The sequence below is a fragment of the Homo sapiens genome, chromosome 17 (assembly GCF_000001405.40).
Source record: "Homo sapiens chromosome 17, GRCh38.p14 Primary Assembly".
NCBI lineage: Eukaryota > Metazoa > Chordata > Mammalia > Primates > Hominidae > Homo > Homo sapiens.
The window spans coordinates 82152120-82167107 of NC_000017.11; the positions used below are offsets into that span (position 1 = coordinate 82152120).

At 53.2% G+C, this 14988-nt stretch overlaps 1 protein-coding gene across 36 annotated transcripts in view, besides 1 other annotated feature; it reads right to left on the reverse strand.

The window, feature by feature from the left end:
- Window positions 1–14988, reverse strand: part of CCDC57 (coiled-coil domain containing 57) — a 111373-nt gene that overhangs the window by 50650 nt on the left and 45735 nt on the right. For 33 of the 36 annotated variants that reach the window (XR_001752485.3, NM_001367828.2, NM_198082.4 and 30 more), the window contains 2 exons: window positions 11081–11238; window positions 5629–5829 (listed from right to left, as the gene is read on the reverse strand). Coding sequence is in view for 35 of the 36 variants with exons in the window: in NM_001367828.2 (NP_001354757.1) it covers window positions 5629–5829; window positions 11081–11238 (359 nt within the window). In the remaining variant the exon portion in view is untranslated. Of the gene's footprint in view, window positions 1–1482; window positions 5830–8495; window positions 8748–11080; window positions 11272–14988 lie in introns of those variants that run through there. The other 3 variants (NM_001316321.3, XM_047435780.1, XM_047435781.1) reach the window with 3 other exon arrangements.
- Window positions 7974–8268: an enhancer, noted in NCBI's record as "tiled region #9641; K562 Activating non-DNase unmatched - State 15:Elon". NCBI's record gives its function as "activates a minimal TATA promoter and a strong SV40 promoter by Sharpr-MPRA in K562 cells {active_cell/tissue: K562}" and the evidence as "EXISTENCE:reporter gene assay evidence [ECO:0000049][PMID:27701403]".

Consider the following 14988-nt stretch of genomic DNA (forward strand, 5'->3'; position numbering starts at 1 on the left):
ACCCAACCAGCACAGCAGCTCCCCAGGGAGAGCAGAGAGAAGGCTGTGGCCTCCAGCAGTGCCCAGGACCCAGGAAGGCGGCCCAGGGAGAGCAGAGAGAAGGCTGTGGCCTCTAGCAGTGCCCAGGACCCAGGAGGACAGCTCCCGCCAGCGTGGCTTGGCCCTCCTCCACTCCTTGGGGTCCCTCCTTTCTCTACCTGCCAGCTGGACACCCCACAACCACCCTGCAGGCCGGCTGTGGCTTCCCTCCTGAAGCAGGTGCAGGGGGAGCACAAAGGCAGTGGAGAGGGAGGAGGCCGACACAGGGGCAGGAGCTGGCTGGGCTCCCCCTTAGCACCCCAAGCCTGGGTCAACCCTAGATCTGAGCCCCTGGGAAGCACTGTGTTGTCCTCACTCAGCCCAACCTGGACTTGCAGCCCACATCATTCCAGTGCTACAGAGTGCAATCCCAACACAAAGGGATGCCTGGACCAAAAATGGGGGCACAGGAAAAAGCAGTAGTGTCCAGGCCCTGGCAAGACGGGAGCCGACGACCTACTTCTCCCGTGCCACTCCTGGCCCCTGTAAGGAGCCAGGCTGCACCTGGCCCTGGCCACATGAGCTCCGAGTTCCTGGAACAGGCCAGCACACCCTGTCCCCGCCAGCTTCCTGGTGTGCCTTTCCAGGGCTGGCAGGTGCTGCTGCCTTCCAGGTGCTGCTGTTCTTTGGATGGCCTGGGGTGCAGCCACTGTATGCAGTGCCTCCGGGCATGTGCCGCAGGTTCATGTGGGACGCTCGGGGGCCGCGGGGGATGACACATCGAAGGGGAGAGATGTCTGCTTTCCTCTTGGACAGAGAAAGTTCTATGGTGCCGCAGGCCCCAGCTGAGGACGGGTGCAGGGCAGCCCCCATGAAGGCTCGCCACAGGCCTGAGCCCGAGTCCAGACTCGCTTCCTCCAGTAAGCGGGCCTCATGCCTGCTCCGTGAGCACCCTTGGCAAGTGTGGTGCAGAGGCTCACTCACCACCCTGGGAGAATAGACAGGAATGGGCTCTTGGGTGTGGGAGAGGCCAAGGCAGAGGGAGAGGAAGGGAGGCCTGTGCTGGTAAAACAGATTGCAGATGGCCTGGGGCTGGGGGAGAGGGGCCAGGCAGGTGAGACTCGCAAGTCCGGTTCTAAAACCCTGGATCCTCTACAGGAACACACTGGGTTATTTTGTTATTTTAACTGAAGAAAGAACAATCCCGAAAACAGATTTTGCAAACCTCAAAACACTTAGAGATTTAAGAGAAAATTCCGTCTTCAAAAGCAGTCCCCTCTCCCTGCAAAGTTACACCAGGCCCTGCGGCTGGTGCCAGGCTTGAGGGGCACTGAGGGGCCTTCTTGCTGTTGACCCCACAGGCAAAGGAAGGAGGGCATGGATCACAGGGCCCATGTCCTAGTCACGTGATTCTGCACACAGTGACCTGGGGGGCAGGGAGTGAACGATTCTACTTCTCTCGGATTCAGTTTCTGGTAAAATGTTATTTGGTAAAAGTTTATTTTGATGATTCTCTAAAATCTTTCCACAAAATAAGATTTCTACAGCCTGAGACATATTCAGGAATGTCTTCACCACTGTGTGCTCCAAGGGCTGCCCACCCCCAGCAGGGCAGCAGCAGCTGTCCACCCATCTGCCCCCACGCCTAGGACTGCCCCAGCACCCCACAGGTGAGGAGGAGATGTCTCCAAGTATCTGGACGATTCGAAGAAAATTCGAAGGAAACTTTGGTCTGCTGAAATGTCTTCACGTCCTGAGGACATGTATGAGTGAGTGACACAGGGAAGTCCTTCTCAGAGGCTGAGGCCTGGGCCTGGTACAGTGGGTTCCATCAGGCTGGGCCGGCGCTCACCGCCCCACACAGCCACTCCAACGCCTCTCGGCAGAGCCAGCACCAACACCATGGCCAACACTGCCCCCCAGTGGACCCAGGGATGTAACACATCCCCCAACTCAGCCCTGGCGGCCAGTGACTGGGGGAAGTTTTGTATTTTAAGGGCTAGAGGCAGCTGATGTGGGTGGTGCAGTCAGGGAAGCCCAAAGCCAGGCTGTGCGGCTCAGCCCAGTGGGACCTGCCTGGGAGCAGAGTGCCCCACTGTTGTCCACAGGCTCTCCCTCTGCCATGGGAGAAGTGGGAACACGTGCCTCCGCACACACCTGGTCCCAGCTTTGCAGACCTGGCTCCTTGGCTAGGGCCGTGGAAGGGGACCAGCTTTCGTCAGGAGTGCTGTGGGACAGTCCCTGGACCCCTGTGCACTTCCTCACCCACCCTGCACTGGCTTCCTGCACTACAGGAGGTAGGCTGGAGACGCAGTGCCGCGTCACACCTCAGTACTTGGGTGGGTGTACACAATACGTGACCTGGTCCGTGGCCCGTGTGCAAATGTCACCAACCGTCCAGATAACGCCCTGACGCCATCTCTCCTGTGCAGGGTCCAGGGTCCCACGTGGCATTTCTACACTGTCTCTCCTGTGCAGGGTCCATGGTCCCACATGGTGTTTCTACAGATGATGCCCTGACACCGTCTCTCCTGTGCAGGGTCCAGGGTCCCACGTGGTGTTTCTACGGATGATGCCCTGACGCCGTCTCTCCTGTGCAGGGTCCAGGGTCCCACGTGGCGTTTCTACGGATGATGACTTGATGCCCGTCTCTCCTGTACAGAGCCCAGGGTCCCACGTGGCGTTTCTACAGATGATGCCCTGACGCTGTCTCTCCTGTGCAGGGTCCAGGGTCCCACCTGGCATTTCTACATGGGGTCTCCCAGGTCTCCTAACTGGAGTGGCTCCCCAGCTTCCATGTTTGGGCACTCGCCAAGCATCTAGACCCGCTCATCTGCAGATGTCCCTCTGTTTGGGCTTGCCTGAGGTCTCCTCATGCATAAGCTCAGGTTCTGCATTTTTGGCAGGGACCCCGAGCGCGAGTCTGTGCCGTCTCAGTGCGACCCGCCCAGAGGCGCGTGACACGGGCGCATCCCAGCACTGGCGATGGGAGCTCTGATCACTCGGGTCAGCTGGGGTCAAACAGGCTGCTCCACTGGAAAGCCAGCATTTCCCTTGGAAATAAGAAGTCACGTGTGGGGAGATGCTGCTTCGCATCCGTCTGATGGGAATCCCTCTGGTTCAGCACCCATCCGTGGTCGCCCGGCGCGCCGTTCCTGTCGCGTTCCTTGGCTGGCACTCTCGCGTGGAAGAGTGCCCCGTTCCCCTGACCGATCTGTCCATTGCTATCAGCCTGGACCCATGATTTCCTGGTTGAGTCAGTGGATTGTGGTCTTCAACGTCACTGCCTATTGGCCTAGTTCTGGTCCTTGGGGACCCCTTTCAGCTGCTTCCTGTGCCTTCCGAACCTGCCTCCATGCTAGAGCCCGGGCTCCTGTGAGCAGGGCAGGAACCATGGAACTAGCGCCTGGAACTGTGGAACTGGCATCTGCTGTGGCTGAGTCCGGGCTGTGGGCCCTCTCAGGACAGAGCTGGGATCAGATGCACATGCAGCTCTACCCACTTCTCTCTATACCCAACATAACGGACACATTGATCCTCTACCTGAGGGTCCAGCCCCAACATGGCCCCTTCTCCGTCTGGGCTCCTTTCCCAGCAGCAAGCAGCAAGGACCTGGGCCCGCCCTCGTCTCCAGGAGCTCAGCCATGCTGCTTGGCAGAGGACAGAGCCCAGGTGGGCCTCGCCTGGGTGGAGAGCCCGGCCACAGGATGCTCAGACCCAGGAGGAGCCTGGAGCCCGACTGTCGCCTCCATGCATGTAGACACAGAGCCTGGAGTGTATGCCCCGCCTGTGCCTTAGCTCCAATAACTGGGATTGGGCTGCAGGTGGCTTCATCTCTCAATTTAAAATTCTGCTTATTTGGGCCAGGCACAGTGGGCCACTGTGCCTATAATCCCACCTGTAATCCCACCACTTTGGGGGACTGAGGCAGGCAGATCACTTGAAACCAGGAGTTTGAGACCAGCCTGGCCAACATGGTGAAACCCTGTCTCTACTGAAAACACAAAAATTGGCCGGGCGTGGTGCACCTGTAATCCCAGCTACTCAGGGGGCTGAGGCGGGAGAATTGCTTGAACCCGGGAGGAGGAGGTTGCAGTGAGCCAAGATAGCGCCAGTGCACTCCAGATTGGGCGACAGTGTGAGACTCTGTCTCAAAAAAAAAAAAGAAAGAAAAAATTCTGCTTATTTGTATAAATTCTTGCCCCTTCATTCTAAACAAGTGGGAAGACAGTGAACTACGCAAGGGCCAACAGTGAGAGCTCCTGGGGCCCCTTGCTGCCCAAGGAGGCGCCCGCCCGTGTCCGGGAACACATGGCGCTCAGGTGGGTGGGAGATGTGTGGGGGTACAGACATGCTTACCCCTGGCTGTGCTGCCAGCTGGCCCAAGGGCCACAGCCCCCACCGGGCAGGAGCCACCCTGGAGTGGCTGGACTGGGAGCCCAGGAGGGCTAGGGTGCTGGAGACCCCTGAGGACAAGACCTCCTTACCAACAGGTACAGGGGCAGGTGCAGCTCAATATCTTACCGACCAGCTCAGCCCTTCCTGTGCGCACTGGCTGAGCACCTGCTAGGGCCTCAGGCTCCCTCGGCCTTCCCATACCTGCCCTGTTGTACCCCTGAGGCATCCTTATGGTCTTGCCCATCCCATGCCAAGGCAGCTCTGGCCTGCTCCTCACTGTCCTGGAGCCTGAGACAGCCACGGCCGCATCTTCCTCAGTCCACTCTATTCCAGCCTGAGTCCCTGGGGATCTGCTCCCCAAGCACGGTGCCCTGGGGATCCACGCTGTCTTCCACTTTGTGCTTTCCAGACATCATCTACTGTCCCCAAAACCTTCTGTGGATTCATAGGTCACTATTGGTAACTATAGGTTACCACAGGTCATAGGTCACTACAGTTATCCCAGTTACCAACAGTCTAGGGTACGAAGTCAGGGAGGCCGGGCAGCCTGTCCTTCACAGCCTTTCCCTCTGGCCTTAGGTAGGAAGAAGGGGGCCCTGCTGGTCGGCTCTGCCAAGCTGCAGAATCAGGACCTGGGGTCGTCTCCACAGCTCAGAGCTGTGGCTCAAACCCAGCCATGGAGTTGGGGGTCACTCCCTCGGGGCCAAGGGCCTGACCAAAACCAGGATAGGAGTGCCATGGCCTGGAGCAGCTGTGTGGCTCTGAACGCAGCAGTGAGGGCCATGTGGGCCCCTCCCCACGCAGGGAGGGCCCAACGCTAGGCATGGGGCAGGCATGGCTGTGCACGCAGACGCCCCCTCAGCAGGCCGTCAAGGCCCTGCATTAAAGCAAACATGAGCCACCTTCAGTGTGTGCGTTTCCAACACAAGATGCTGTTAGCTGAAGGGAGGACTGGGATGGGCCCGTCCCGCCCCCCACCAACGGGGCATCAAGGTGAAGGACCAGGAGAAGAGGAGGCGTGTGGAGGAAGAAGGCGGAGGAATGGGGAGAGGGGGTGGAGCAGGGCCCACTTCCAGGCACGGCCTTCACTGCAGCCCTCGTCCCACCTGAGCTCCCAGGGCATACAGACAGCAACGCTGGCAGAGCACAGGCAAGGACGGTTTCTGTGGCAGGAACCTCGGCGGGTGGCAGGAGGAGCTAGCGGGCACCCACCTCTCTCCCAAGGGCCACGGCGTCCGAGGCTGGGGGCTGCTTCCTGCCTGAAGGCTCCGCTCCCCCGTGCTGGGCTATCCTGAGATGCTTCCCCAGCTCAGCCACCTGCTTCCGCAGCTCCAAAACCTCCAGGTGTACCTGGTCCACCTCACGGGGAAGCTCACGCTGGAGAGCGGCCGGCTCCAGGGGTTCCCGCAGCACCTAGGGGTCATTTCAAAGGCAGTGTGAGGAATGAGGCAGTGGCTGGGCTGGAGCAGGCCCCTGGGCACTGACAGGAAGCGCTGTGAGTGCCGGGAAAGAACGGGGAGCCCGGGGTCAGGGCCTCCTCCCCAGCTGGATGCAACTGCCCTCAGCCCTCTGCCCCCAACCACGGCCACTGCTCCTCCTGCCCCGCCCAGCTGGCCCTGGCAGTTCCCCTGTGCCCTGCTCTGGACTCCTAGGCTGGTGGGGAGAATCCGTGCATGGACTGAGGCAGAGCGCCTCGAAACCCCTTCCTGAGCCTCCTCCCAGGGAGAAACAAAGGCCTCCAGAATTGCAAGTAACCGGTAGGAGGTGTTGATTTTTCTTTTCTGCTAATCAAAGGGGGCAGACATGGGGAGGCCAGAGGTAAACAGGCCAGGAAGTCGGAGGGCTGAGGCTATTGAAAGGCAGGTGGATAGGCTGGGTGCGGTGGCTCACGCCTATAATCCCAGTGCCTTGGGAGGCCGAGGAGGGTGGATCACGAGGTCAGGAGATCGAGACCATCCTGGCCAACATGGTGAAACCCCATCTCTACTAAAAAATAAAAAAAATTAGCCGGGCATGGCGGTGGGTGCCTGTGGTCCCAGCTACTTGGGAGGCTGAGGCAGGAGAATGGCATGAACCCGGGAGGTGGAGCTTGCAGTGAGCCAAGATCGCGCCAGTGTACTCCAGCCTGGGCGACAGAGCGAGACTCCATTTCAAAAAAAAAAAAAAAAAAGCTTGTATTAATTTTTATTTATTTACTTATTTTATTCAGACGGCATCTTAGTTGGTTGCTTAGGCTGGTCTCAAACTCCTGGGCTCAAGCGATCCTTCTGCCTCAGCCTCCCAAAGTGTTGGGATTACACGTGTGAGCCACCGCATCCAGCCTATTTCTATTTTTAGAGACAGGGTCTTGCTCTTCGCCCAAGCTGGGGCAGAGTGGCGCGATCGTGGCTCGCCGCAGCCTCAACCATCTGGGCTCAAGCAACCCTCCCACTGGGCTCAAGTAATCCTCAGCCTCCTGAGTAGCTGGGACTACAGACGCACCACCATGCTTGGCTAATTATTTCAGTTTTTATTACAGATGGGGTCTTGCTGTGTTGCCCAGGCTGATTTCAAACTGCTGAGCTCAAATAATCCTCCCACCTCACCATTCCAAAGTGTGGGGATTACAGGCATGCACCACCGTGCCCAGCCTTGTTTAGTTTTTGTAGGGACAAGGTCTCCCTATGTTGCCCAGGCTGGTCTCAAACTCCTGGGCTCAAGTGATCTTCCTGCCTCAGACTCCCAAAGTGTTGAGATTACAGGTGTGTACCACCGTGCCCAGCCTAAAAGCTGTATTTAAATGTTTATTTCTTGTCTGTAGCATTTGTGCGGGAAATGGGGGAAACAGCAACTGCAAAGCATCGGGGATCTGGAGCCCCTTCACGGGCACATGGATCTTCAACTCCCTCGACTGGAGCCCCTCACGTGTACATGGATCTTCAACTGCCTCGACAGAAATGGAAAAGTGGCCAAGTTCCTCTCCATTGCAACAACAAGGACACACTTCCAATCAAGGCGAGGCGTTAGGCATCAGCAGAAAATGAGAGGTATGAGGGTAACGCACATGTTAATTAGCCTCATTTAGCCCTTCCAGTGTGGGCATGTTTCAAAACATCATGTCGCATACCATAGAGATATACAATTTATATTTGTCATTTTCTTTTTTTTTTTTTTTGAGACGGAGTCTTGCTCTGTCGCCCAGGCTGGAGTGCAGTAGCGCGATCTCAGCTCACTGCAACCTCCGCCTCCCGGGTTCAAGCAATTGCCTTGCCTCAGCCTCCCGAGTAGCTGGGATTACAGGCACGCACCACCACACCCGGCTCATCTTTTGTATTTTAGTAGACACAGAGTTCATCATGTTGGCCAAGATGGTCTCAATCTCCTGACCTGGTGATCTGCCCATCTTGGACTCCCAAGGTGCTGGGATTACAGGCGTGAGCCACCTCGCCTGGCCATATTTGCCATTTTCAATCAATCCATCAAACATCTTAGGAAGATTAAAAAAAAAAAGCATCCAATTTCTGGAGCACTGTGCACTCCCTGGGCAGATGGGAAATCTGGAATACTTTGTTTCTAGAGAGATGTTCTGCGTTAGAGAAGAAGCAGAGGCTGCAGGGAAGGCGTGGTTTATGTATTTACAATGCGAGAGGACATGTGGAAGTTCCCTTGTTATGTCGCCTCACAAGGAATAAAAGCAACAGGATGAGGACAGCATGACTCAGAAGCACAAGCAACAGGAGACATGATCAACAGGACTGGATCAAAACTGGAAACATTCGGTGTCCTTCAAAGGACACCATCAGGAAAGTGAAAAGACAGGCCAGGTGCAGTGACTCATACCTGTAATGCCAGCACTTTGGGAGGCAGACAGGCCAGGTGCAGTGGCTCATACCTGTAATCTCAGCACTTTGGGAGGCAGACAGGCCAGGTGCAGTGGCTCATACCTGTAATCCCAGCACTTTGGGAGGCACACAGGCCAGGTGCAGTGGCTCATACCTGTAATGCCAGCACTTTGGGAGGCAGACAGGCCAGGTGCAGTGGCTCATACCTGTAATCCCAGCACTTTGGGAGGCAGACAGGCCAGGTGCAGTGGCTCATACCTGTAATCCTAGCACTTTGGGAGGCAGAGGTGGGAAGATCACCTGAGGTGAGGAGTTCGATACCAGCCTGGCCAACATGGTAAAACCCCATCTCTACCAAAAATACAAAAATTAGCAGGCGTGGTGGCTCATGCCTGTAATCCCAGCTACTTGGGAGGCTGAGGCAGGAGAATTCCTTGAACCCGGGAGGCGGAGGTTGCAGTCAGCCGAGATCACGCCATTGCACTCCAGCCTGGGCGACACAGCAAGACTCTGTCTCAAAAAAAAAAAAAAAAAAAAAAAAAGAGAAAGTGAAAAGACAAACCACAGAATGGGAGAAAAATGTAGCAAATCATATATCTAATAAGGGACTTGTATCTGGAATATAAAAAGAATTCTTACAACTCAAATAAAAAGACAACCCAATTAAAACTGGGCAAGGGATCCACACGGATGTTTCTCCAAAGAAGACAAATGGCTCAAATGGCTGACCAAGACGCACATGAGACGATGCTCGACACCAGGAGTCATCAGGAAAATGCAAATCAAAACCACAGCGAGGCCCCACTTCACTCCCACCAGGATGCCTAGCATCACAGCCAGAAAACAGCTAGTGTTGGTGGGGATGGGGGAACCGGAACCCTCACACAGTGCTGGTGGAGGTAAAATCGTGTGGCTGCTGGGGAAAACAGTGCGGTGGCTCCTCAGAGGGTTAAACACAGAGTTAATGTCTGGGGAAAACAGCACGGTGGCTCCTCAAAGGGTTCAACACAGGGTGACCGTCTGACAGAGCAATTCCGCTCCCAGGTGTACACCCAGGAGAACTGAACTCTGCATAAGTCCACACAGGAACTTACACAGGAACATTCACAGCAGCATTATGCACAATCCAAACAGCGGAAACAACCCAAATGTTGAGTGCATGAATGATAAACAAAATGTGATTCCTCCATACAATGGAATATGTCAGCCATGGGAAGGAATGACGTTCTGACATATGCAGAGCTGAACCCTGAAAACATTCTACTCAATGAAAGAAGCCGGGCACAAAAGGACAACTACCATAGGACTGTGTTAATATGAGGTCCCTACAGTAGACAAATTGATTGTGACGGGGGTGGAATACTTACTAGAAGCTGGGAAGCAGGGAAGGGGTGACACTGCTGTGTGGTTATTGTACCGAGCTTCTATCTGGGGTGGGGAGAAAAGCTCCGGTAATAGTGAGAATGTTTATGCGACATTGTGAATGTGCTTAATGCCACTGAAAGGTACACTTTAAAATGGCCAAAATGAATAGTGAGAATGTTTATACGACATTGTGAATGTGCTTAATGCCACTGAAAGGTACACTTTAAAATGGCCAAAATGGTAAACTTTGTTATATATTAATGAATTTTACCACAATTAAAAAAATTTTTTTTTTGAGATGGAGTTTCGCTCCTGTTGCCCAAGCTAGAGTACAATGGCACAATCTCGGCTCACTGCAACCTCCGCCTCCTGGGTTCAAGCGATTCTCCCACCTCAGCCTCCCAAGTAGCTGGGACTATGGGTACCCGCCACCACTCCCGGCTAATTTTTTGTATTTTATAGAGATGGGGTTTCACCATGTTGGCCAGGCTGGTCTCGAACTCCTGACCTCAGGAGTGGGGTGATCCGCCCACCTCGGCCTCCCAAAGTGCTGGGATTACAGGTGTGAGCCCCCATGCCTGGCCACACAATTTTTTAAAGTAAAAGCCAAAACGATGTTAGGAATATGTAGCAGTCAAACCGAGGTAGTGACCCCAGCCCCATGGGAAACAGGGTGGGCTCGCTGCTGGATGCAGATACTGGTCCCAGCAGGAGTAGGACCCGACCCCCAAAAGGCAAGGGCCCAGGAGGTTGAAAAGAACAGCGCTTGCCGGGGCCCTAGTATCTCAGATGAAGTGTGGCTCAACACTGACATGGAGCACATGCGTCCGGTTGACCAGGACCCCTCTGAGCGGGCAGGTGGCATCGGGCAGCCCGCACACACGCCCCACTGACCAGGACCCCTCTGAGCGGGCAGGTGGCATCGGGCAGCCCGCACACACGCCCCACTGACCAGGACCCCTCTGAGCGGGCAGGTGGCATCGGGCAGCCCGCACACACGCCCCACTGACCAGGACCCCTCTGAGCGGGCAGGTGGCATCGGGCAGCCCGCACACACGCCCCACTGACCAGGACCCCTCTGAGCGGGCAGGTGGCATCGGGCAGCCCGCACACACGCCCCACTGACCAGGACCCCTCTGAGCGGGCAGGTGGCATCGGGCAGCCCGCACACACGCCCCACTGACCAGGACCCCTCTGAGCGGGCACAGCCAGGGCCTGGTGTTCTGGCCGCCAGTGCTGCCTCCACTGCCTAGACCATGCTTCCCAGGTTCTCATGGCACGCCTTCCACGAGCACACCTGAGATGAACCGGTTCCTAGGACCTCCCCACAGCCCCTTCCTCAGAAAAAAACAGGCAGAGAGAGGTCAGTGGATGCCCGAGGTCACCTGGGGTCGCACCGGGCAGCCGCTCAGAGCCCACGCGCTCTCCCCCAGCAGCGGCTCTCTAGGAGGATGACCCCACAAACTTGACTGCCTCACCTTCTGTCTGAGTCGTGTCACCAGCAGGTTTAGGAGCTGCACTCTGTCCCCGAGCTTCCTGAGTGCCAGTCCAGAGGATACTGGGCCAGCTTGGACAGATCCTCCTGCTTGACCAGCTTGGACAGACCCTCCGGCTTGACCAGCTTGGGCAGACCCTCCTGCAGAGAAGAGTGGCTTCTGTCAGCTCATACCTGAGAACAAAGGAAGACCTTTCTGGGGAGACACACATCTCTATCAGCTCTCCCTTTCCCGTGAGGCCATGGCACCAGCGGCTGACCCCAATGCGAAGCTGTTCTTCATTGGAGTCAGCAGATCTGGTCCACGTGAAGATTAGAGATGCTGTACAGAAAGCATAATCCTCATGTAAAGAAAGCAAGAATCCTTGTAGGAAAAAGTCTGACCTTACCACGTAATGTCTGATAGAGACCAATTGCTCCAGTCTGTCCAAGTAAAGAGCCACTTGCTTGGAAATGAAGAAAAAAGATGCCACATAACACAGGGTCAAAGAAAAAAATCACAATGGACATTAACAACTATTTTGAATGGAAAGATAACAACAATACTACCTTAGAAACTTCAGGAATGAATCTAAAGCTGTCCTTCCAAGAATAATTACAGCTTTAGATAAATATTTTAGAAAAGAAGAAAGGCCAAAAACCAATGAGCTAAACATTCATCTCAAGAAATTAGAGGGGCCAGGTGCAGTGGCCCATCCCTGTCATCTCATCACGTTGGGAGGCTGAGGCAGGAGGATCCCTCGATCCCAGGAATTCAAGGTTACAGTGAGCTATGACTGAGCCACTGCACTCCAGCCTGGATAACAGAGCGAGACCCTGTCACACACACACACAGAAAAATAAATTTAAAAAGAATGACCAAATTAAAGCCAAATAGGGCCAGGCACGGTGGCTCACGCCTGTAATCTCAGCACTTTGGGAGGCTGAGGTGGGCAGATCGCCTGAGGTCAGGAGTGGGAGACCAACCTGGCCAATGTGGCAAAACCCTGTCTCTGCTAAAAAAAAAATACAAAAATTAGCCAGGCGTGGTGGTGCGCCCCTGTGGTCTCAACTACTCGGGAGGCTGAGGCACGAGAATCGATTGAACTCGGGAGGCGGAGGTGGCAGTGAGCCAAGATTGTGCCACTACACTCCAGCCTGGGTGACAGAGTGAGACTCTGTCTCAAAAAAAACAAAAACAAACAAACAAAAAAACGCCAAATAAAGTAGGAGGAAGAAAAGATAACGTTAGTATTAGATACTGAGGAAACAGAAAATAAATGTATAATAGAGAATCAACAAAATCAACAGTTGATTCTTTGAGAAGGCTAAAATAAACACCCAATAATACTAAGCAAGGAAAAAATAGAAGCAAATGACCAATATAATTAATGGCAAAAAGGAGTCAACACTTCAGATCCCACAGACATTTAAAAACTCATAGGATACTATAAGCAACTTTATGTCAAAAATTTGAAAATTTAGATGAAATGGACAATTTCTTAGTAAAATATAACATCAAAAATGTACAAAAAAGAAAATCCAAATGTCCTACAACTATGAAAAAAACTGAATACACAATTTTAAACCTTCCCACAAGGAAAACTCCAGGCCCAGCTGGTTTCAAAGTTGAATTCTACCAATTATTTAAGAAAAATTAATATAAGTCTGATACAAACTTTTTTAGAAAACGGAAAAATAGAGAATACTTTCCAACATATTTATGAGGCCAGCGTAACTCTGATTCCAAAACCTCCCATGAACATTATGAGAATTGAAAATTATGGGCCAGTCTTACTCATGAACATAAATGTGATAATTCTCAATAAAACACTGGCAAACCAAGCTGGGTGTGGTGGCTCACACCTGTAATCCCAGCTACACAGGAGGCCAAGGCAAGAAGATGGCTTGAGCCCAAGAGTTCAAGAATAGCCTGGTCAAAGAGCGAGACTGTGTCTCATTTAAACAAAAAACAAAAGAAGTATCAGCAAACCAAATCTGTCAAACTATAAAAAGAAGAATCTATCACTACATGTTGAATTCATCCCAGAACTGCACGGGCGGTTTAACCCGACGGAGCCCCTACAGTCCACCCGCATTTTGCCTGCTAATCTCAGCTAAAGGCCCAGCCAGAACACAAAAAGCCTCACTAGGGGAAAATTCTGAACAGTGAGAAATGAAGGCTGAGTGTCTAGGGGCCTCGGATCCCAGGGGTGGCTGGCAAGGAGTCCCTCGTCTCCTTCCTGCACACACTGGCCTGGTGCTAGGCAGCCACAACCCAGAGCTCAGACCAAAAAAAAAAAAGGCCGAAGAGAAGCTGCTCCTGGGACCAACGGAGCAAGAAGACGGGGACGTGCAGGTGGAGCCCTTGGGACCACACCTGCCCTCCTGCCAGCCCATGGTCCTGCAGCCTGCTGTGGACAAAGGCCAGCTGGGCTTCTGGGAGAGCATGTGGGGAGGGTCACAGGAGGAAGGAGGTCTGCGTGAAGACCCCTGAGGAGCTGCCGTGTAAAACCAGCCAGAATCCACAGAACCAGCACAGCAAAACCTCTGACAACCGGGCCTGGCGGGGGACACTGCCCAGGATTTAACTGGCCACTTGGTAGCTCATGTATGGGCAGAGGAAAATAGCATCATCAAGGCTCTGGAAAGTAATGGACATTCAAACCTCAGCCCACCAGAGCGGGCCAGGATGCGCAGTGTGAACCCAGAAAGGCTGACTACCTGACAAAAGAAAAGACAGAATTAACATAGATTTAATAAGAACTGGAATTTCATAATGTGACACTCAAAATGTCCATGATACAGTAACAAATTACAGGAGGCTGCTTGTAATTCCAGTACTTTGGGAGGCCAAGGCAGGAGGATCACTTGAGCCAAGGAGTTTTGAGAACAGCCTTGGCAATATAGTGAGACTCCATCTCTGATTAAAAAAAAAATTACTCGTCATATTAACAACCAAGAAAATCTCAATGTGAATGAAATAGACAACACCAAGATGACACAGACATTGGAATTATGGGATGAAGATTTTAAAGCAGCAGTCATAACAAAACTCCAGCAAGTTACTGGGGAGGGTAGAGGTGAGAGAATTGCTTGAAGCCAATAGTTTAAGATCAGCCTGGGCAACATAGTGAAACCCCATCTCTACAAAAAAAAAAAAAAAATTAGCTAGGCATGGAGGTGGTATGTACCTATAACCCCAGCTCTTCAGCAGTCTGAGGCAGGAGGGTCACTTGAGCCCAGGAGGCCCAGGCTGCAGTGAGCCATGATAATGCCGTTGCACTCCAGCGTGGGTGACAGATCGAGACCCTGTCTCTAAAAAAAACAAACAAATACACAAACAAAAAACTCCAGCAAGCAATTTAATACACTCTAAAACTTATGGCAAAATGAAAGTTCCAGTAAAGTAAGATATAAAGAAAACTAAGGCCAACTGTGATGGCTCATGCCTGTAATCCAAACACTTTGGGAGGCTGAGGCAGGAGGATCAATTGAGGCCAGGAGTTCAAGACCAGCCTGGGCAACATAGTGATACTCCATCTCTACAAATATAAAAAGAAATTAGCTGGGTGTGGTGGTGCACACCTGTAGCCTGTAGTCCCAGTTACTTGGCAAGCTAAGGTGGGAGGGTCCCTTGAGCCCAGGGGGTCAAGGCTGCAGTGAGCTATGACCATACTACCACACTCCAGACTGGACAACAGAGCAAGGCCCTGTCTCAAAAACAACAACCACAACAACAACAACAAAAAAAAAGGAAAAAGAAACCCAAAATGGAAATTTTAGAAACAGAAACAAAAATCTCACTGAATGGGCTCCACAGCAAAATGGAAATGACAAAAGCAAGCACTGATAAACCTGAAGAACAGAGGAAAAGAAACTGTCCAATTTGAACAAGAGAGAAAACAAATT